The sequence below is a fragment of the Homo sapiens genome, chromosome 8 (assembly GCF_000001405.40).
Source record: "Homo sapiens chromosome 8, GRCh38.p14 Primary Assembly".
In the NCBI taxonomy this organism is placed as follows: domain Eukaryota; kingdom Metazoa; phylum Chordata; class Mammalia; order Primates; family Hominidae; genus Homo; species Homo sapiens.
In genome coordinates this window covers 114,311,384-114,336,817 of record NC_000008.11, presented here as the reverse complement: position 1 = coordinate 114,336,817, position 25,434 = coordinate 114,311,384, and the positions used below count along the sequence as shown (strand labels likewise).

Here is a 25,434-nt window from a genome sequence, read left to right as displayed (position 1 = left end):
TATGTATTTATTTTTTACCCGAAGCATATATGTGTGTACACATATGTGTATATATTTACTTATTTGTATATGTCTCCAAACTGGAAGAGAAACTCTATAAAAACAGAAACTTTATCTATTGTATTTACTGTTACATCTCAAGTACATAGAACATGACCAGGGCTTTAGTAGGCTGACAATGAATATATTTGATACAAAATGATCTCGTGGCTGATTGTAACTTATATGAGTATAAAACACTCTGATTTATATTTTGTCTGGTGTCAGTACCATCACACTTGAATTCTTTAGTAAATATAAGTTGGACTTTCGGGACGTCAACAGAGAGGAACATTTATGTGGAAGTAATTTAGTCGTCCCCACAAAAAAACAGATTAGATGAAAGAAATTGGGACAAGAAAGGGAAGAAGCCAAGCAAGGGTGCAATATCAGCGAAAGTCCCAGAAAGGGTATTTCTGGCTCATGCTGGGGTGCTCTGGGGAGTGTTGGTCACACCATGGAGTTGTCTCAGTCAGCAGCAAGAGACCTGGAGAATTAATACTTCCTCACCTCTCAGGCTTTAGTTATAATCTGTCATCTGTGACATAAGGTTCTGGTCACTTGTGCAAAAAACCACAAGTACAGTGGGCATTGGCAGCCTGAGGGCAGTTCTTCTACATAGAGAAACAAGAGCAAACTGTAAGAAGTAGAAGGACACCCATGGGAAAGAGATTTGAAGAAATATGAGGGAAAGCCAAGAAGACACTTGGTATATAACAGGTTTTTGAATAGAAGCTTTAAAAAGACCTAAAGCGCTAATTTTCCTTTATTAAATAGACAAAGTCAAAATCAGAGCTTATCAAAAGTGTGGCACTAACACAAAAATAAACATTTCCATGTAAAACAGAATACTGATAAACATGGTCCCATTAGATATTGCAATTTGATTTATGGTAAAAATGGTGAAATGTAGTTGGAAACAATGAATAGCCATATGGGACAAAGCTAAACTTGATCTTCAATGGACTAAAATATTTATTTCAAGGTAGAATAAAGATAAATTAGAGTGAATCATAGTCTGAGGTTGTTTTGCCTTTACTATACATATAACAGAAAATAGAAACCATAACATATTGAGAATTTTACTATGTTACATTTTATGTAACATACATAATTAAAACCAAAACAATAACTAAAATGACAACACATTAAGGTAGTCGAAGCAATCACATTATATGCTTTTAAAAATCAATTAATCTAACATGAAATATTAATATGTATTTTGTTGTAATTTATCTTCTCTTTTCTGCTAAAAATAAGTCTATGAGTCAACATTTCACATAACTCATATTGTTTTCTCTCTGAAGATTTTAAAAGACATCAAATTTCATTTTTATTGATGTTTATTTTTAAAACGAAAGGAATCCTTTTGCCCTGTCAAAAGATGCTACAAATAGTATTCTTTTTTCTTCCTAAAAATACTTTGTCCTCAATGTTTTATTTTTCAGATTGCATAGGAGTACATAAGTATATGCATATTTTAATTTATATACATACATATGTATCACTGTAACTTGGAAATTAAGAATGTCATAGAAGAATAGTTAAAGGCAATGAGAAAGTGTTGATGAAAAAGGAGGAGCCTATGGGGAAACAAAATAATTATATGCAAATACCCGAAGGTAAGAAATATGGAAAAGGCAATTGTCTTGCTCTAGGTTGTCACAGACAAGAGAATTGTACTAATTGGGTAAGAAATAAATTGCATGTGAGTTTTTTAAAAATATTTCTATTAAAAAGTTAAAGATCATTTTTTCTATCATATCATTGACCTCCTTTTTACAATAGCTATGGATTATTATTTCACCTCTATTTTCAAGAAAAATTAGTAAAAGTTAAAGATTATATCAACAGCTTCATGGAGGTAGCTGATTTTGCTTATATACACCCTTATTACGTTACTTGTATTAATAAATGGCTTCTAGTTTTCTGAAACAGTTTACAAATATGCCCATATTAATAAATATTTTGCTATAATTCAATTAGCATTTTTCAGATATCTTTATGCAGCTAGATATCATTCATTAACCATTAATGGTGTGAATTTATCTTCTTGAAAACAAGATTCAATTGACACTATATACGTATTACTTATTGTGTATTTATGGTATTTGAAAAATAGAAAAAAAAAACCTAGTTTAAAAAAATAAGTAATTCAAAATTCAGTCCACAATTTACAATTAAAGATGGCTGTCTATGTATGACTTATGGTCTGCATCAGGTCAATTTCCTCATTCATATGGAAACTCATAAGAGGGTGAAATATATTGGGACTATTTATAATGTGGACACAGGATCTGTAAATTCCCTACTTGCATAATGATTTGTAACATTCTGAAAATTCATGTACAAGGACACATGCAAAGCACTAGTTAAAATAATAAATACTAACTCATAAACTTTGGAGTCACGGGTATTTAAAATAATTAAATATGAAAGTAGAGTTGAATAGTAGCCATTACTTAAAATTTGAATATTTCTGCACAGATATAACACAATTTTTGTATAATTAAAAGTTATAGAGAATATCAGAATACTTAATGAAAACAAAAAATTCCTGCTTCCCATTTACATTTGTCATCATCACTGGAATAAATCTGATTAATTTTTCAAGTTTTCAAGGTTGAGAACAGCAAAACAATTAAAAGTTTCACTTTTAGATATCTTAAATAAAACTAACATGAAAAATAGTTTCATTGTTAAGCATTTTTTGAAATTTCAAGATCATTTATGCATAAAAGCACAAAAGACATTATATAAGAGAATAAAAATCCCAGTCTTCAAAACAAAAAAATTTAAGCTCTCTTATCAAGGTGATAACCTTTTGATCCTTTGCCACCTAGGTAAAAGAAAGATGAAATAAAATACCATTTGTGAGAATTAAATGATATATTCGAAATTCTCTATAAACTCTAGATCGCTACATATATTAGTTAACCATAAAATTTAATATTACACAAAGTTTGAATGTTCTATGTGTCACTGACACAAAGAAGAAATTTATATGTATTTTTATCAAACATCAATAGAAACTGCATAGATGTTTTATATAAAAGTTAGTTTATGATATTTTTCAATTAAGTATTTTAATAGAATGCTGTTTTTACATTTAGAAAATTCAGAATATCCCATTCAGGTGTATATTTCAGAAAACAAAAAAAAGAAATACCAGATATTTGGTGCCATAAATATATATCACAAGGACTTTGGCAAGACAAAATTTAAAAAAAGATTTTACCTAATATCTATGCCAAATTAGAATTAGACTATTCAGTAAATTCCAAGTAATCACATTCCCTTCACAATATTATTAACAAAGTTACCACCAGAGAAAGAAGACAGCATTTGTTTAGTGAACATTCTAAAAAAATCTGAGAGAATCCCAATAGTTTAGAAATAGATGGTAGTACAATGCAATAACTCCTTATTCCTTTTCTAATAAAAAATATTTTCATCTATGAATCAAAAACAAGTTTGGAGACATAACAAGGGAAAATAAAACACTGAAAGAAAAATAAAAGAAAACTTCTACCAAAAGGTAAATAAAAATGAGGACCACAAAATCAAAATAACCAAAAAAAGATAAGAATAAGTAGAGAAAAATAATATTGTACAGATAAATTATTAAACCAGTCTATGGACTGAATTCAATCCTAATTAATATCCCAGAAGATTAGTTTTTAAGCTATAACAAAATAACTTTACATTTAACTTTGTATACGCAAAAAACATTTAAACAGAAAAGAAATTTAAAATTGAGCCTTTACTAAACAAAAAAAGACACAAAATAAATCTACAACATCGGAGCCACTTGAGTGTTAGGCATAAAATCATCATCATCATCATCATCATCATCATCATCATCACTCATTTATACACCATACATTTGAGGATCACTTGTCTTCTAACTAGGGATGATACTGTAGTTGAATAAAACAGACTTAATAAACCAGATAACTTCCACTGAATGCTTTTTACATAACAGGAACTCTATTGTCTCCCTTCTGCTTCCAAAAACATATAAGATTACAGGGTCAGAGATAAATAATTTTATTACAAAACAGCAAGCTTCATAGGTTTTCTGTTTGTGCTTGCCCACCCTGTCCACAAGGGTGGTGCAAATGTTCCTAGATGATGGTTGCACATATATTTGTTTTGTGTCACAGCTGACGAACCCTAAATTTAGAAAAACATAATCTACTATAATGAGATAACAAGTAGCCCTGCCCAACCATTGTTCCCATTGGAGACATTATCTTTGTTAAACTGGACAGAAAGCAAATACACATTTTGAGGAGACAGTATCTTTTTCTTCCAAAAATGTTATCTGTACCAACAACTTAAAAAAACTAGCCCAGAGCAAGTCTGTCAATGTCTCTGCTCACACAATATGTTTAGAAATAGAAGAGATCCATGGAGGTTCCTCCTTATAACTACAAATATTCAAAACCCCAATTCTTGGTGACTTAACACAATAGAAGTTTATATTTAAATTATATGTACACATACAGATATACATACATATATATACACACACACATATATATATACACATATATACACATATATACACATATATACACATATATATATACACATATATACACATATATATATACACACATATATATATATATATATATATATATACACTCACACATACACATTTCAATACTGCTTCACTCATTTGTTCAGGGACAAAGGCTGGTGAAAGATTGACCACTTTTCATTGTTGTGAGCTTAGGAAAGAAAGAGAAGATAGTTCACAGGATGTTTTTATAGACCAGACCTAAAGGAGATGTGCTTCATTTTATTTGTATTCTGTTGGACTAGAGCTCATACACATGGCCACACATAACTGCAAAGGAGACTAGGAAAGTTATTGTAACCCAGGAATTAAGGAAAATAATCTTTTTTTATATAGCTAGTCAGTCTCTGCTATGGGAGATAAATTTGCTTTAAGGCTTTGATCATCTTGGAAGCTAGAGTTACTATTTCTTGTGATAGGGAATACTGTAGGAAGATTACATTGGGAGGAGGTCAGAAATGTGGTTTTAGAATTTTTTTTAAAAGGAGATTCTCTTTAGGTATACAAATAGTGTTGTTTAAGAATCTATATCTATATCTATATCTATATCTATATGAAGTCATCAAGGATGTGAGTGGATAGAGAGAGGAAAAGATCAAAGTTGGAGATATTTGTCATTCCAACAATAAGAGGCATTATCTTGGTATTTATAATAAGAACCTAACAAAAGTGACTCAAAGGGGAAGTCAATCAAGCAGGAGGAAAGCCAGGAGGATTTAGGGTCCTTAAAGGTAAATGAAGAAAATGTTTTAACAACAGAGAAGTGATCGACTGTATCAAATATGGCTGAAAGCAAGGTAAGTAGGAATCATTGACTAGATTTAGAAAGATGAAGGTCATTCATGACCTTGCAAATGCAATGTTGATGTAAAAACCTTTTAAACAGAAAAAAATGTAAAGTCAGGCTTTATTAACAGAGCAAGACACAAAATAAAACTATAACATCTGAGTCAGTTAAGTGTTAGGCATAAAACCATCATTGTCATCATCATCATCATCATCATCATCATCATTCATTTGTACAGCATACATCTGAGGACTGCCTATGGAGTGCAGAATGTGTAAATCTGATTGGAGTAATTCAAAAGTAGATGGGAGAAAGGAATTAAAGACAGCAAATCTAAGTAATTATTTTTTTTAAAAAAGCCTCTCTGTGAAGGGAAAAGGAAATTTGGGGCTATAATTTGAGGAGGAAATGAGTAAAATGAGATATATTTTTAAGATTGGTGAAATAATAGCATGTTATTTGTTAAAAACAAAATGGACTAGCAAGAAGTATAAATTCATGACATTGAAGTAGGGGGAGAAAGTCTCATTGTCCATGTTACAGAATTGATTATTGTGGTACCATGTAGCTCACCTGTGTTAAATTCACCTCACACATAACACTATAATTTTTTAAAAATCGAAACTTATATGTATGTGTTCCTTTCTTAAGTACAAGTGAAATGGTTAATAAGTTAACAGATTATGTTATTATCTAGTCTAAAAAAATACAAAATTGATAGAAAACATGTTACCTTGTAGCCAGTGTTATTTTCAGATGAAAAATTATTTGTTTGTATATATTATGCTGTATTGTTTTAGATATTGTACTGCATTCATATAAGTGCTATACTAATTTATACTGAAAAAAATGCTCATATAATCAAAATAAAACACAAAAATCTAATGAAAAGACAATTGAATAAGTGATGGTAAGAACTTATTTCAGGAAAAGGGAATTGGAATACAGAGATTTTAGAAATGCAAGAGCCTAGAGGTGAATATGGTTTCTCTCCTCTGTTTGTTTTTATGAAGTGATATTTTTTTAACAAGGCTCAGAAAATAAAGAGAATTTTGATAAAAACTTTATAATGAGGATAGAAAGTTTTCGTCGTGTACCTAGATCAGAAAAAGGTGTTTAAAGTAGAAAAGGGAAAAAAAAAAAAGTGAGGTAAAATAAAAGGTAGTGGGTGGGTGGAAGGGAAGGGAAAGACAAGGATTGTAGCAACAATGTGAGATTTGTTTAAGGGGGCAGTGGCAGTGCTAAGAGTGAAAGGCCCGGGGAGGAATTCAGAGTCTGAACAGTATTAGAGATTATCCCATTCGTTGTTTACTAAAAGACTTGCAGGATATATTTCTCTTAATGTACTGTTGAGTCAACAGATATTAACTTTTTTCAGAAAAAATAAATTTACAGGACTAGTATAAATTTTCTTCATTTTTTGCTCTCTCTCAAGTTACTTTTGGACCTGCCTGGGAGTCACCTATTTTCCCCAGAAATCCTTAACTACTTTTGGTAATAAGCCAGTGTTGTGCTTTTTTATATAATCTTGGTGTGTGTGTGGTGTCATCAGTTAGAAGATTTGAACCACATTTTGGGTGGGGTTCATCTTTTTTCTGCGGGTGGCTATCATACACATATACACATTACATACCTGCATTTGAGTATGCGCATGTGTATGCTATATATCACATAGCCCCAAAACAAAATCTTTTAAATGGTAATCTATGCAAAGAGGTCTTCTCCAGTGCATTTAGGAAGGTAATATGGTTTGGGTATGTCGCCACCAAAATGTCATGTTCAATTGTAATCCTGAATGCTGGAGGTAGGGCCTGGTGGGAGGTGGTTGGATCATGGGGGTGGATCCTTCATGAATGGTTTGCTACCATCCCCTCGGTGCTGTTCTAGTAATGGTGAGTGAATTCTCATGAGATCTGGTTATTTAAAATCGTGTAGCACCTCCCCGCTCTCTCTCTTCCCCCTGCTCTGCCATGTAAGACATGCCTGCTTCCTCTTCACCTTCTACCATGATTGTAAGTTTCCTGAGGCCTCCTCAGAAGCAGAAGTCACTATGCTTCCTGTACAGCACACAGAACGATGTGCCAATTAAATCTCTTTTCTTTATAAATTACACAGTCTCAGGTATGTCCTTATATCAGTGCAAGAATGGACTAATACAGAAGAAAAATTTTATAAGCACTTGGAAAGTTTTTATTATAATCTTAGAGTGAGAAAAATATTAACTATGACATAAATTCAAAAAGCATTTAAAGAAACAATAGTAATATTAAAAATAAATGCATATGAAATTCATTGTTTCATAGTACTGAGTGTAACAAAGTAAAATAAAATTTACAAAGTGGAAATAAATAATTTCCTCATTTGTCACAGAAAAGGGCCATAAACTACTCCTAAAATTTCTGAGGGATCAACGACTGAATGAAAAAAAGAGAAACTGCTATAGACTGAATGTTTGTGCCACCCCTCATCTCCAAATTCATATGTTCAGGCCACAATCTCCAGAGTGGCTGAATTTGGAAATAAGTTCTTTATGGAGGTAATTACGATAAAGGGAGATCAGAAAGGTGGAATTCTGATTCAATAGGATTTGTGTCCCTATAAGAAAAGAGAGCTATCTCTTTCTCTTTCTCACTCTCTCTCTTTCCCTTTCCTTTTCCCTGTCTCTGTCTCTCAGTGGTGCATGTGAGGAGATAGTGAGATGACAGTTTGTCTACAAGCCAGGAACAGAGCTCACTCCAGAAACTGAATCATCTGGCACCTTGATCTTGGTCTTCCTAGCCTCCAAAACTGTAAAAAGATGCTTTTCTGTTTGTTCAACCATCCAGCAGCCTGTGATGATTTGTTACGGCAGTCTAAACAGACTATAGATCTGAAGAGACACTTCACAAAAGGGAGAAACAAATATTACAAAATAAAAAGAGATATTCAGCCTCTCACAGAAAAATCAAAATGTGACAACAGTGATAAACTACTTCCTAGTGATTAGATTAGAGAAAGTGCAAAAGTTTGGCAACATGCATTGCTGCAGAGGCTGAGGGAAGCAAGCAATCCGGTGTTCCCCACAATATTCATTGTAGGAATTGTAAAGAAAATTAGTACTATCTAGCAAATTTACCCATGAATATCCACTTTGACTTAACATTTAAATGTCAAGAAACAAGTGAAAAATATAAAATAAATTATGTATTAGCTTTATAATTTTAGCATTACTTAAAATAATACAAAGTTTGAAAATATTTTTTAAATTAGTTGGTGACTGAGTAAAGTATGCTGTGTCTACACAGTTAAGTATGTATGGGACTACAAATGGAAAGAAGGAAATGACTATATATATTTTTTTGAAATACATCCAGGATATATCAAGTACCAAAAAGCAAGCTTGTCCAGGCATGGTGGCTCACACCTGTAATCCCAGCACTTTAGGAGGCCAAGGCAAGTGGATCACTTGTGCTCAGGAATTGAAGCCCAGCCTGGCCAACATGGAGAAGCTCCATCACTACTAAAAATACAAAAAATTAGCTGGGTGTGGTGGCGTGCACCTGTTATACCAGCTACTTGGGAGGCTGAGACAGAAGAATTGCTTGAACTTGGCAGGCGGACTTTGCAGTGAGCCGAGACCAGCGACTGTACTCCAGCCTGGGTGACAGAGCAAGACTGTGTCTCAAAAACCCAAAAAAAAAAAAAAAAAAAGAAGCAAGCTGCAAATCAGTCAATATATGAAAATCCAACGTGGCATGCTACTACTTTTCATATAAAAAAGAGAGGATACTATATATATATGAAATACATGACTTTTTAATATTTATATCTTATATTAATAACACTTATTTACTACTTTTAGTTTATCTTTTATTATTTTTATATATTATATACTACATTTAATTACTTTATGTATAATATACTTTTCATGTTATATATTATAAAATGTAACTTATATAGTCGACCTTTGAATAACACAGGTTTGATTTGCATAGGTCCATTTATATGTTAATTTTTTTCAATAAACATATTGAAAAAAGGGAGAATTGGAACAATTTGAAAAAACTTACAGAAAAACCACATAGCCTAGAAATATTGCAAAAGTTTAGAAAAACCCAGATATTTTACAAATGCATAAAATATATGTTGATAATAATCTATATTATCATTTATTATAAAATATGTATAAATCTATTATAAAAGGTTAAAATTTATAAAAAGATACACACACAAACACTTATAGATGATACATTGCAAAATTCCAGGTTAATAAAAATGTAACAAGTGTAAAGATGCAGGTTTAAATTGTAACTGCATAAAATTAACTGTAGTGCATACTGTACTGCTGTAATAATTTTGTAGCTACTTTGTGTTGCTATTGCTGTGAGTGCCTGTTATGAGTATCTGTTTAAAATGCCTTGTGACACTAATCATCTCTCCTTGAGTAGTTCATCTCTTCAGTAAATTGTATATCAAAATAAAACGTGATCTCCACAGTTCTTACATATTTTTTATGTTTAGTGCAATATCATAAACCTTGAATAACACCATAAGGCCCATCCAAAGTGCCACTAGTGATGCTGGAAGTGCTCCCAAGTGGAAAAATCATCACATTATATGAAAAAGTTTAACTGCTTGATATGTACTATAGATTGAGGTCTTGGAGCCACATTTGACAGCCATTTTGTGATAAAAGAATCCAGCATAAGACCCACTATAAAATAAGAAAAAAAAAAACCTTTGATGCTGTCACTGCAGCTACACCAGCAGGTGTAAAAACTTTGCACTTTTTGTGAAATACTTTTTTATCTTGTATTCAAAATACAGCTTTTATGTGGGTGTAAGACTACTATAAGACAAGCATACCTATAGACTGTAATATGATTTGAGAAAAAGTGAATGTGAAGAATATAAGCTGAAAAATGTAATGCCAGCAAAGGATGGTTTAATAATTTTATTACAGAAAGAGTTTTGGCTTTTAAAATGTCAGGATAACAGCAGAAATAGCTCCTGCTGACCAACGGAGCAGACTAGTTCCCAGACAACATTAAGAAAATCATTGAAAAGAAATGGTACCTGCATAAACAGATTCATAATGCAGATGAAAGTGCACTATACTGTTAAAAAAAACCTGGACATTTGTTAGCAAAGAACGGAAAGCACCATGATTTAAGGCAGGAAGAGATAGTTTAAACTTTTGTTCAAATTCAGTTGGGTTTAAGGTCAAGGCTTATCTATAAAGCTGCCTTGAAGGGAAAAGATAAATACCAACTGCCAGTCTTTTGGTTGTACAACAAGAAGGCCTGGACAGTGAGAACTCTCATTCTGGATTGTTTGCATTGAAATGGAATGGATTGATGCTTTGTTCCTAAAGTCAGGAAGTCCCTTCCCAGTAAGGGATTGCATTTTGAAGCTATTTTAATATTGGACAATGAACCTGGCCACCTAAAACCCCATGGGTTCAACACAGAAGGTGTCAAGTGGTCCAACTGCCTTCAAGCACAATGTATCAAATTCACCCTCTAGATCAGGGGATCATAAAGACCTTTAAGGCTCATTACACATGATACTCTATGGAAAGGATTACCAATGCTATAGATGAGAACCCCTGTACAGATAACATCGTGAAAGTCTGGAAGGATTACACCACTGAAGATGCCATCATTGTTAGGGAAAAAGCCGTGAAAACCATCAAATCTGAAACAATAAATTCCTGCTGGAGAAAACTGTCCAGATGCTGTGCATGACCTCACAGGAATTACAACAGAGCCCACCAAGGAAATCATGAAAAAAATTGGGGATATGGCGAAAAAGGTGGGGGTTTGAGGGTTTCAAGTTATGGATCTTGGAGAAATTCTAGAGATAATAGACACCAAGCAAGAGGAATTTACAGAAGACGACTTGATGGAGATAAGTGCTCTGAACCAGTGCCAGATGATAAGGAAGATGGGGAAGAAGCAATGTCAGAAAAGAATTTGATGTTAGACAATCTTGCAGAAGTTTGCCAATTATTCAAGACTGCTTTTGACTTCTTTTATGACACAGGCCTCTCATGATTTGGGCACTTAAACAAAAGAAAATGGTGGAAGAAGGACTGGTGACACACAGAAATATTTTTAGAGAAATGAAGAAGCAAAAAGTCAGAAGTTACAATGTACAATTTAGTGTAAAACTACACTGAGTGTGCCTGACTCTCTTGCTTCCCCTTTCATCTCCTCCATCTCTTCTGACTTTGACACACCTGAGATAGCAAAACCAACAGCTCTTTTTTTCCTCCTGTTCAGACTACTCAATGTGAGGACAAGGATGAAGATCTTTTTTTTTTTTTTTTTTTACTTTAAGTTCTAGGGTACATGTGCACAATGTGCAGGTTTGTTACATATGTATACATGTGCCATGTTGGTGTGCTGCACCCATTAACTCGTCATTTACATTAGGAATATCTCCTAATGCTAACCCTCCCCCCTTCCCCCCACCCTCTGGCAGGCCCCGGTGTGTGATGTTCCCCACTCTGTGTCCATGTGTTCTCATTGTTCAATTCTCACCTATGAGTGACAACATGCGGTGTTTGGTTTTCTGTCCTTGAGATAGTTTGCTCAGAATGATGGTTTCCAGCTTCATCCATGTCCCTACAAAGGACATGAACTCAAGGATGAAGATCTTTTTGATGATCTACTTCCACTTAATGAATAGTAAACAGGTTTTCTTTTTTCAATAATTTTTAAAATAAGTTTCTTTTTTCTAGATAATTTTATTGTAAGAATACAGTAGATAGTACATATAACATACAAAACGTGTTAATTGACTGTTTATGTGCAGGTAATTGCACCACTGCACTCCAGCCAGTGGAACAAAGCGAGAATCCATCTCCAAAAAATAAAATAAAATAAATTAACCAGTGCTTTCCTCAGTTTCCTCATCAGAATAATAAATTTAAAAATTTATTTCTCATTGAAAATTTGAGCATTTTTATGTTAAGAATTGTGAAGGGTCTGAAATTTTTATTGTACTTGCAAGTTTACAACATACCCCACAGTATCACAGATGCTGGTAAAATACATGAAATTCCTAGATCAAAAACAAAAAAAATTTCTAGTAACTCAAGGCATAGCAGGCAACATCAGCTTTGTGTTTCAGTTGGTTTCTGTTGCTCTCCCATATCCCATGGGAGCTGTGTGGAGCAGCCCAGGTAGATGGTACACACAATGAGTTTATAGAACTTTCAGTCTTCTAAGGGGATTACTGGCAAGCTTGCCAAAACTTTATCTCAGAAGGAGATGTTATCTTTATTTTTTCAAGTCAAGACACAGATCTGTCCTCTGTCCCTGGGGGGATCACTGTTTTTCAACGTCATTTGCTGTATAAACTTTCTTGGAAAGATAGTCTGGAACAAAAGCTAATACAAGATATGTCGAAACATCATGGATAATTTTATCTCAAGATTTTATTATACATTCTAATAAAAAATCAAATGTCCACCTTCTTTATGCTCCCTAACTCTAAAATATGTTTACAAAATACTACATGTGGGAAAGTGAGAAGAAAATCCAGTCAAGTTAAACAATCTTGTTTCCTATTGATTGTGTTTTTCTAATATTATGTTATACATAAAATATTAAAAAGTAGGTGTTTGTGAAAAATACTGCAATTACTTTGCTTTGGAGTTTTTAATTATATTCTTACTTAATACAAATCATGTTTTCTATATTTGACCCTAATTTACCTGAGATCTTGTAAAGCATACCTGCCCCTAAAAATTTATGTAGCCAATTTTTACTGTCTTCATGCCTATGCCACTGATTTTCAAATTATTCCAGATTTTATTTCAGTTTAGCATAAATGAAATTTAGCTCTAGAGGAAATGGCAAAATATTAAATATTATAATAGAGTATTTTCAAATGAATCTGTGCCATAATAGTCACAATTATAAATCACAACTCTATTACCAAGAAAGAAAGATTAATGAGTTGAATATAGTATTTTATTTAAGATAAGCTAAATTTAATGTTCTCAGTGCTTAGTTCTCTGTGGGTGTGCGTGTGTGGGTATGCATCCACTATCGTTTATCAGTTCAAGGCATCAAAATGGGTGTGTTTCATTTCCACATTTGTTTTTCTTTTCACTTTTCTTTTTAAATAAATTTAGTCATGTAGTGAAGCTAATTGGTAAGCTCTATTTCAAACTGTATCTAAACTTTTTATGGACTTTTTTTTTTGCTTTGACTTCCTTGTTTTGTTTTTAATAAGAGTTATTTATTTCCACCTCCTCACAGTGCTTTATGCTTTTTGTTCTCTCTTTATAGAGTCATTGCAAATTATATTTCAAAGTGAGTGTCATGGTTAAAAATGAATGTAGAAATGAAAATAGTTTCATCTTTTTAATGAATAGCCTCTAGCCCCCAGCTCAGATCACTTTAACACTTGTCTTTATTGTCTCCAAATTCAGCTAACTGATGTTTTTGGTCCTGGATTGCTTCTATTTCTAATCTATGCTCTACACTTCCACTCTTTTTAACAAAGCAGAAATCTCACCTGCCTAGCGTGGCTTATAGGAAATTGAGATTGCCCTAGTTTCACTTTGGATTGCTTGTTTTTAACTATAACACTTTGCAATGATGTCACTTTTATTTCAGACACGCTCCAAACATACTCCTTAAGATTATGGTTTGTTGAACTTCAAAATATCAAAGTAATAAAGGTTACTTGTTATTTGGTTTATCATAGTGATATATTTTGTTGATGGTTCAAATGTTAACTTGCAGATTAAAGATAACGGTGAAGGAAATCCTGCAATATGAGGTAAAGCCTTACTGCTTCAAAAGAAATCTAATAAAAAGATGAATCAAGAATACCTATAGAGAGATGAAAGAGAAGAGGTGTTTATCTTAGATGAAGATGCATTAACTATTCTGCCAATCCAGGCTTCTCCTAATTATTTCACACATCACTTTATGCTTAATCAAAGGAAATAACCAAAGATGAGAAACTGAACCCAAATGGAGGCGCTTCAGAGGCAATCCATCTGAGAATTTTGGGAGAAGCTCTTACTTTTCTGTTCATTCGCTGGTCAAGATCAAGAAAGCTCTTGACTTAATATATCATCTGTCCTTGTCTCTTTATTGAAACCTGAGCCAAAAACTACATAAATGATTATTTTTCTTTTCTTCTCAAATCTCTTATTGTTTTCTGAGGAAAGACTGGCAAACAACACTTTAATAAAATTGCAGATACTTGCTTGTTTCTTGGCCCTAAGTGCACTTCAGGCACAGTTGCTTTCTAGAAAGATGTTGTTAGGGTAATTAATTTAAAGTTTTAAAAATGCCTGCCCCAAATAGTTTTTGGCTTACTTTTATGATTAGCCATTCCCTGCAGAATGTGACCCACATCACTCAAAATTACTTAACATCGTTTTTAAAAATACGGTAAAAGCTAACTTGATTGTTGTATAGACTACTTTTTTTTTTTCAATACAACCATCCTACACCATTACCATTCTGGACCATGAATAGTTTCTTAAATAAACCATGCTCTGTTATATCTCTTTGATATGGCTCACGTCATTAATTATTTTCTGAAATGTGCTTTTTCTCTTCTCCTTCTGAAAGTATTTACTAACTCTGGAAAGACCTCTCCAAATCTAACCTGAACAAAAAATCCTTCTCTAAACCACTAATTCCTGTTTTTCTAGTGTAGAACTATTAAAATAGATCACTTCATTGTGCTTTCATATAATTTTTGTAAGCATTTTCCTATAAGTATGTAAACACTGTTTTATAATTGAATAGCTTTTTGCTTCCTATATCAAAGTTTAACCCTATTAAGCTATGTACTTCAGACCCTAACACTGTAGCCAGCATGTGGTATTAAATAACTCCTAGCTAAATAAAGAGTTGAATGCATGTTGAATCTCAAATGAACTTGTATTTTGCTGACATTTATCATTTTAATATTTCTGAAGTATTTTAAACTGTGTTCCATAAATGTAGACAATCGGGATTTCATATGTGTGCATGATGTTTTAGAGTGGACAATAGGTCTTGATCTAGAAGCAAAACATACAGTCAGGTAGTCTGCATGATATGTGTGGGGTAAGATTGTAAATACTGGATATGTTCACTAGATGAAATGGAATCTGTCAACATCTCTATTACATAAAACTTTTCATTTACTTCTTACTCCATTGTTTGTTGAAGCACACAAATGTCTACATTCTGTTGTTCTCAATGCACTTGATGCCTCAGGACGAAAATACAGAATGTCTTCCGGTGACAAAGGGACAGGAAGTAACAAATGGACAGGAAGTAACAGAAAAAATTAAATACATCAAGTAATTTTATTTCTTTCTAGTATATTCTCTCCTTTTAGCAGTAGACAGTCTTCAACTACAGCAGGAGGAGCCTCAACCAATGAGGATTGATAACAAACTTCTAGGCTGTGTCTCACAAACCTTCAGCAATATGGCAGGCTGCTGTATTGAAGACAAAAATGTAGAAAGAAAACGTCATTGTAATTTTAATGGCAAGAGAATTACAATAAAAAAGGTACATTATGTCAATATTTTCCAAGAATATGAAGTTATTCAACTGCTCTTGTCATATAAGATTTTGAAATTTATAAAATCCTGTAGGCTGGGCTACCTTTGGTCATGTAACTGAATCTGCTCTGCTCTTCAAAACTGCTTTTCAAAAACAGAGTGGAATGTGGCCGGGCGTGGTGGCTCACACCTGTAATCCCAGCACTTTGGGAGGCTGAGGCGGGTGGATCACGAGGTCAGGAGATCGAGACCATCCTGGCTAACACAGTGAAACCCCGTCTCTACCAAAAAACAAAAAATTAGCCGGGTGTGGGGGCGGGCGCCTGTAGTCCCAGCTACTCGGGAAACTGAGGCAGGAGAATGGCGTGAACCCGGGAGGCAGAGCTTGCAGTGAGCCGAGAATGAGCCACTGCACTCCAGCCTGGGCTACAGGGTGAGACTCTATCTCAAAAAAAAAACAAAAACAAAAACAAAAACAAAACAAAAAAAAAACAGTGGAATGTTTTAATCCAAAATATTTAGATTTTTTAATACTCTAACATGTACAATACATTTTATTATAAAGTCACCTTTTAAATGCACATTTTAATTATAACATGTAATCGGCTGTATTTGAGCTTTATTTTCATAGAGCTATATTATTAGCTTTAATACCTGTTATTCATGTTACCAACTTTTATTCAATGAACTGACAAAAAATCTGGGTTTTAAATCAAATGCCTTAAAATAGAACTTGTGGAAAATACAAAGTTCAATTTATTGACTGTTCACTTGATGAACTGTACAGTTATTCATTGATTTTTTTTCTCAACTCAATGTTATTGATGACATGAAATTTACTGAATCAACTTTTGTCCAAAAGGATCCCAATGAGTCAGCAAATAACTGTTTTGTAATAGAAATTATGTAAAACAGACTTGTAAGTATTGAAATGTGGAGTTTGAATTGAATTTATCTAGTATTGGTAACTTTTTTCTCATCTAACGTACTATATTGTTTTTACAGTCAAAGCTAAGTATTCATTTATAGGCTGGCTAGGCATGGCTGCTGATTTTGATATTATAATCCAATGGTTGTCTATTGAAAGCAAATTTATAACAGTCCCTTTAATATCAGGAGTCTGCAATATAGAGAAAGGGACAGATATTTGCAAATATTTAAAGTAAATTAATGTAATATTTTATTACTTGTGTTATGATTAAGCAAAGTGTATCATTGGGAAAAATCAGTAAAAAATACAAAAAAGATAACTTATTTTAAAAGGAGGGATCTGGAAAATATTATAGAATAATGAAATTTAGGCTCAGTCCTTTAAATTTGACTATTATTTCAATAGGTGGAAATAGAGTATTAATTGGGGAATTCTTGGTGAGGAGAATAGTAAAAGCATAGATGGAGAAGAAAGTCAAGTTTATGCTATCCATACCACACATGGAGCAGGACTGTATGTAAATATGAACTTACAGGTGTTTTGGAGAGCAACATTTCTTTGCATGCTAAAAATTACTTCATAATTTCTTTTAAATATTAATCTTTGATTTAACATTACAACTTTTAAAAGTGAATTTTTTTCCAAATGTTTGGTATTAACTTATAAATTATTTTAATTTATAAATTTCAGCATATTTTAACTGAAATGGAGTGCAGGTGCCTGATCACAGCTCACTGCAGCCTCAAACTCCTGGGCTCGGTCAGTCTCCCAACTTTCCCTCCGGAGTAGCTCAGGCTACAGATACATACCATCATGCCCAGCTAATATTTCTATTAAATATGCCTTAATTGCCTTACTACCAAAACCTTCCCAAGTAAGTATTAACTTTATCAATATAAGGGGCCCTTATAGTCTTAAATACTGCAATAACATTATATATTTGTGAAATAAGTAGCTCCATTTTATTCACTTAATTAAAATTTTAATTCGAATCACAATTACAGTAGATTGTCGCAATGGCTGAAGTCACTAGATTAAACAAGCAATCAAGTTGAAGTGTTTCCTGAGGCTGGTGTTATCACTGAGGAACTTTCTCAATGCATTGCACTAACTGGAGGTGCTGCAGAGGTTGCTGATTATGGTCATGATGGAACAAAGACAGAGACCTTCAGAGGGTTTTGTGGCCACAAGTTTCATGATGTCTTAATTGCCCCCAGGAACAGCGGATCTAAAAGCTGATGTGGATTTCAGTTATTTGCAAAGAATGGCACAGGGAAAAGTAGCTCTCTGGGCCCAATAAAACAACCCACATTTTTTTAAAATATGGGTATCGATGTCCAGCTGAAGATTCTTTTAGATAAATCAAATGAGACATCAATGAGTCAGCAATTACTTCAAGGATATGATATGTTAATGAATCCGAAGAAGATGGGAGAAAGATTGAACATTTTTGCCTTGCTACTTCATCAGAGACTTCAAGGTGGAAGGAATCAGATGAATCTGTGTCAGTCAAAACCCTATGCATCTCCTGTAGCTGGATTTAGTGAATTTGTTTGGCAGTGATATATTTCAGCAAGGATATTTTACCCTTCAGTCTGCCCAAGAAATCAAAACAAAGGAAACACATTTCATACATTGCAGGTAAAAAAAGAAACACAAAATACACAAAATATCAAAATGTTGTTTTGATTTACTTTATTCCCTATATTTAAATTTCTTTAGGTTAGAAAGACTTTGCCTATGTTGAAGTGCTTTCCCCAGAAAACACTGACCGATAACTTCATAGTTAGTGGAAGTTTCATATGTAATCAGAGACAATCCTCAGCTCTCCATTCTGTACTCCCACCCAGATACATAATGGATTCTTACCTATATTTATGACCACTGTAACAGGAACTTCATAACTTATTTATAGGAATTAATCATAAAGCTCATATCTTCAGATCCATATTATGTAATTACTTAAGTATTCTCTACTCAAAGATGTCCAAAAACCCTTGCTGGATATTTAAATAACTAAAGGAATGAATACGATAAGGAATAAAAGATAAAAAAAATCATCAAGAAGCCAGTATCTAGACACAGATATTTCATATCAACACTTTCCTTCCTCTTTTGTGTTCCATAGTAATGAAAGCCTATTTTGTTCAATGTCTGTTATAAGATTTTGCTTTTCTTTTTACTTATGACTTTTAATATCATCTAAATTGCAATATAGTTATGTTTTTTCTTTCTGGTCCTTTTAGTTTTACCAAAGTAGTATACATAGGATTGGTGCTTAATATACACTGTTATATTGTTCATTATCTGACAATATGAACAAATTTAATGCTTTTTAAAATTGCCATTAAATAGTAATAGTTTTCTCCATGGAGATATTGTTTACATTAGGAATAAGTCATAAGTAAGTTAATCATACAGTCTGAAAAGAAGACTGTGACTTGGATTATAGAAATCTGTCAGAATTAACAATAATCTAATGCTTCCAAGAGATGTGGCATTCTACATCATTTTAATTATTCTAATATTTTTGAATTACACAATAAGAATTATGTGAGTATCATTAGAGGAGAAGCACTTAGACTGTAATAAGATTTAATTCAGTGATTTATATCTACTTTTGTTTCTTGCTGTTGTTGGACAGGCTTTATATTGGCTACACTGCACATCCTGGAAGAAGCTGTTTGATTTTTCAGTTATTTTCAACATCACCACATAACAATTAGTGAAATAAGTTCAGGCTTTTTAAAATAGCAGATGTTGAATATTTATAGAATGTTACTCTGGTTTATTTTATAAAATTTTGTACATGAATTTTAGATTCAAATGTAAAAGAATGTCTGAAATGAGTAATTGCATATGCCAAATATTTTTTTAATAGATTTCAGAGTTATGATTATTGGAAGTCACTTTTTACTTTGATAAATTGGAACTCAATATGATATAAGGCAATTTACCTCAAACGATAAAATCCAAGTGATCATACATAAACATATCATGTGTTATCAAATAAAACTTCAATAAATACAACGTGGCAGAAACAAAACTTATGTAGATTATCCATCCATAAACTCTTCATTAGCTTGTTTGTAAAGAAAATATGTTTATCCCAAATGACACTATTGCTAAGCTACATGGCGTAGATGAGGAAAATTAAATCCAGAAATCTCTCTCATAAATGTACTCAGAAATATAGCACTTTTGTAACAAGAATTGAATGTTGCTCATTTGTTTTACTCAGCAAAAAAAGAACCATTTATAATTTTACAATAATGCTGTTTTAAATTTCAGGCATTTATTTAAAAAATTAAATTACTAATCAGTGAAAACTATTTTTATGCATATATAAAAAACTAGGTTTTGTAATATTACCTCAAATTTTTATGGTAATACACAATTCATGGTATCTTTTTTCAGCTCTTGAAAACATTAAAATTACTTTGCTGTTAATATTAACAGGTGAGAATAATAACATATTTACTAGATTTAATTTGATATTTCACTGTTAAGCACCATGTCTTTTTATTTTCTAAGTTTTCAACAACAGACTCTCATTCCTCCAATAATATTTTGGCAACAGAAGTATGTTTGAAACTCCCAATATATTAGGATTTATTGAATATTCCCTTTTATGGTAAGCATGAAGACAAGTAATTATATTCTTAGGCTTATATTCATAAGGAAGTTGTGAGACTAGTTGGCTTATGTTTATTTGTTATAAATAACAATTCATTATTTGCTATATAAAGAGTGTAATTAATATCTTATTTAGTGATAGTTTCATTTTTCTCCCACTGGTTTAAATTACACATTGTAATAATTGTCAGTGAGAGGAGCTTCCTCATATCATCTCTACCTATGAAGTGTATTATTTCATGGCCAAGAGAGTCATACACAGATTTGGCCACATAATTTGTGGGGTTCAATTCAATATGAAAATGTGGGGTCTTTTTTTGCAAATTATTAAAAATTCCAAAATGTCAGCAGCACAACATTAAACCAAGAGCAGATCCATGTAAGCATGGTGCCCTGTGCAACTGGACAGGTCATAGGTCCATTAAGTCAGCCCCATAGACACACTATGACATAATCAATTGTATTGTAGCATTGGAGAATATGGCCTCCAGGGCCACATGCCTAGGTTTTAATTCTACATTATCAATTCTTTAACTGTTAGACTTTAGGCAAGTTACTTAAAAGCTCTCTGCCTCAGTGGTTTTATCTTCATTAAATAATAATTATAGTATGTAATTTATGAGATTATTTTGAGGAATGAATACTATATGTAAAAGGTCAAGGAATAATGTCTGACATAAGTAAACTATCAATAATATTAGGTAGTATTAGTTTATACGAAGCAGTTATTTTTAATAAATACAACTAGTGAATCAACTCATGTAGATCATCCTATTCCATGCTATTTCCATGAGATAACATCTTATCTTTGGCACTCTTTTTGTTGCATTTTTTTTTTTTTGAGGCAAATTATTGCTCTGTCACCCAGGCTAGAGTGCAGTGGCTCAGTCAATTATGGATAACTGCAGCCTCAACCTCCAAGATTCAAGCAATACTCGTCCCTCAGCCCCCGGAGTAGCTGGGACTACAGGCACATGCCACCATGGCCGGCTAATTTTTGCAATTTTGTAGAGACATGCATTTTTGCATGTTGTCCAACTGGTCTCGAACTCCTAGGCTGAAGCCATCCACCTGCCTTGGCCTCCCAAAGTGCTAGGATTATTCCTTACAATTTTGAAGACTTTTATTATGAAAGACGATCAGAGGATACAACTCTGGTTCCCAAATGTCATTCTCCCAGGTTTATAATACTCTGGCATTTAATTTAAAGGGCAGAATTAAGATCAATCTATTATCCATCTGATAATTCTGTAAATCCAGTGGACATACAATCTGGATTTTATAAGCCAGGTTTGACTTAATTTTGCCATTTTGAAAATATGATTAACTCCAACCTACCTCTAATGATTAACAACTACCAAAGTTTAAAAAGAAAAGCTTAAAAGTTGTGCATTATTAATTTAAAAGAATCACTTTACAACAATTACATACATACTACAAGGACATAACATTTCAACTTCCTTTTAGGATTCCATACGAATATGTTCAAAATTCAGAGAAAAAAGTAGAACACATTTCCTAAGTATTAATTAAGAAAAAAGGTAATCATATTTTTATTACTACAGATGGGAAGAGAATTAACAGGTAATTAAAATTGACAATGCTCCTAGTCCTTTACTTATATAACCTCATTTTATTTTTATATTAGCCCTAAAATATTATTTTAGTTTTATTTTATTAATGAGGGAAATGAAGCTAAGAGATGTTAAGTATCCTAGCCACAACCCTATGATCAATAAAAAATAGAACCAGGATTCAAACCTGGTATACATAACACCAAATCTATAAGCTTTATTTTTCTTTTGTTTTGTTTTCTTGTTTTTACCCACCATGTTTTACTTACCATTTCAGAGATATAAGAATAATTATGAGAATAATCATTGAAGAAATATAAGCCTTGTTATAATTAGCAGGCCAAACACATATATCAAAATCCTGAAAAGTCACTTACCATTTTTCTTTTTATTGTCTTCTTTTTGTGATTTCCATATAGATTTTTTTTGTAACTATCTTACCGTTTTTTCTCACCAATAAATTCCTCTTAGAGTACAGGTATGTATTTCTTTATTTTTTTCTTTGCTATAAATATTTCCACTTAAGAGATTCATCCCTGCCAGTCAGCCATTGTGGAAGACACTGTGGTGATTCCTCAAAAACCTAAATACAGAAATACTATTTAACCCAGCAACTCCATTGCCTGGTATGTACCCAAAGGAATATGAATCATTCTATTATAAAGATACACGCATGCGCACGTTCATTGAAGCACTTTTGACAATAGCAAATACATAGAATCAACTTAAATGTCCATCAATGATAGACTGGCTAAAGAAAATGTGGTACATACATGCCGTGTAATACTACACAGTAATTAAGAAAAATGAGATCATGTTCTTTGCAGGAACATGGATAGAGCTGGAGACCATTATCTCTAACAAACTAACACAGGAACAGACAACCAATTACCACGTGTTCTCACTCAAATTGGGAGCTAAATGTTGAGACACATAGATACACAGAGGGCAACAATGCACACTGAAGCTGTTTGGAGGGTGGAGGGTGGGAAGAGCGTCAAGAAAAATAACTAATGCATACTAAGTTTAATACCCGTTTGATGAAATAATCTGTAAAACAAACTCATGACCAAAGTTTACCTATGTAACAAACCTGCATTTGTATGCCCAAACTTAAAATAAAAGTTAAAAAAAGATAAAATATATTACATTTAAGGCCTTGACTAAATAATACATAACAAAACAGCATTTGGGTTGAAAAAAAAGTCACAGTAAATGGAATACATTAGATCTTTAATAGCCACTCTAATATGCTTTCTCATATAATGAAAACAAACTGATGAAAATAAAAGTAACATTTGGTTTAAGAAAGTTTGCACATCTGGACACCAGATCAAATTATAAATAAGTCAGTCATTGTAACTAGTAGTCTGAAAAGACAGAAAATGTGGAATCTACAAAATAGAAGTAAAAATCCAAGTTTATATTGTAACTGAAGCTCAGTTTTGTTTATAAACAGTTGCCAAATAATGCCACAGTTGACATATAATTATTTACTGTCACTAAGTTAAGACTACAAGATAAATACACTATTCACCTATGTTTCTAAATATCAAAAATATTGAATATTTTAATGGTTGAGCCATTAATGGCATAATTTTGGAAACCTAGAATAGCTAATGACTTAGAAAAAAATTCACTACTTACTCTATTTTAGAGTAGTTTCAAGCAGTGAGACTACAAATGATCTCATAAGACACTTTAAGTTTAAAGATTAACTTGGAAAAAGGCAGAGTATCGGCAGTTTTTTACATTTAACCATATTCACAGAGGGCCTAAATTTAAGAAGGATTGCCGAGATTTACAAGCAGGGGTTATGTCACGGAGTATCTTATACACCATGCTATAGTATCAAGCTTCATCTTGTAGTGCACAAGTATTTTAACAGATAGTCACTTTGTCAGGAGGCATATATTTTATCTATATTTTGGGAAGTATAATTAAGTTGCTGGTGCCCCAAATTAAAGTTCTTTCCCTAATTATTTGTCCTAAAATGAGCAGCCAAAATTGTTGGAGCACAATGGAACTGCTAAGCATCTAGAAAAAATAAAACACCAAAGACAGCTGGATACATGGCTCTCAAACTTAAGAGAGAGTGAGAAGTCATGGAGATATAGATATGGGAATAATTAAAGCTATAGATGTAGGTAGCATTGTGTCCAGAATTGGTGGGTTTTTGGTCTTACTGACTTAGAGAATGAAGCCACGGACCCTGGCGGTGAGTGTTACAGCTCTTAAGGTGGCGCGTCTGGAGTTTGTTCCTTCCGATGTTCCAATGTGTTCGGAGTTTCTTCTGGTGGGTTCGTGGTCTCGCTGGCTAAGGAGTGAGGCTGCAGACCTTCGCAATGAGCGTTACAGCTCTTAAGGCAGCGCGTCTGGAGTTGTTCGTTCCTCCCAATGGGCTCGTGATCTCGCTGGCTTCAGGAGTGAAGCTGCAGACCTTCGCGGTGAGTGTTACAGCTCATAAAAGCAGTGTGGTCCCAAAGAGTGAGCAGTAGCAAGATTTACTGCAAACAGCGAAAGAACAAAGCTTCCACAGTGTGGAAGGGGACTCGAGCGGGTTGCCACTGCGGGTTGGGGCAGCCTGCTTTTATTCTCTTATCTGGCCCCCACCCACGTCCTGCTGATTGGTAGAGCCCAGTGGTCTGTTTTGACAGGGCACTGATTGGTGCGTTTACAATCCCTGAGCTAGATACAAAGGTTCTCCACGTCCCCATCAGATTAGTTAGATACAGAGTATGGACACAAAGGTTCTCCAAGGCCCCACCAGAGAAGCTAGATACAGAGTGTGGATTGGTGCATTCACAAACCCTGAGCTAGACACAGGGTGCTGATTGGTGTGTTTACAAACCTTGAGCTAGATACAGAGTGCCAATTGGTGTATTTACAATCCCTGAGCTAGACATAAAGGTTCTCCACGTCCCCACCAGACTCAGGATCCCAGCTGGCTTCACCCAGTGGATCCCGCACCAGGGCTGCAGGTGGAGCTGCCTACCAGTCCGGCGCCGGGCGCCCGCACTCCTCAGCTCTTGGGTGGTCGATGGGACTGGGCGCCGTGGAGCAGGGGGTGGCGCTCATCAGGGAGGCTCGGGCCGCACAGGAGCCCATGGAGTGGGTGGGAGGCTCAGGCATGGCGGGCTGCAGGTCCCGAGCCCTGCCCCGCGGGAAGGCAGCTAAGGCCCTGTGAGAAATCGAGCGCAGCGCCGGTGGGCTGGCACTGCTGGGGGACCCAGTACACCCTCCGCAGCCGCTGGCCCAGGTGCTAAGCCCCTCATTTCCCGGGCCGGCAGGGCCGGTCGGCTGCTCCCAGTGCGGGGCCCGCCAAGCCCACGCCCACCCGGAACTCCAGCTGGCCCGCAAGCGCCG

The 25,434-nt window shown here is 33.9% G+C and overlaps 1 pseudogene, besides 1 other annotated feature; it reads left to right on the top strand.

Annotated features, from left to right (window-relative positions):
* Positions 17,887 to 18,521, top strand: LOC100420746 (NADH:ubiquinone oxidoreductase complex assembly factor 7 pseudogene; annotated as a pseudogene).
* Positions 24,984 to 25,278: a silencer, noted in NCBI's record as "tiled region #9676; K562 Repressive non-DNase unmatched - State 24:Quies". NCBI's record gives its function as "represses a minimal TATA promoter and a strong SV40 promoter by Sharpr-MPRA in K562 cells {active_cell/tissue: K562}" and the evidence as "EXISTENCE:reporter gene assay evidence [ECO:0000049][PMID:27701403]".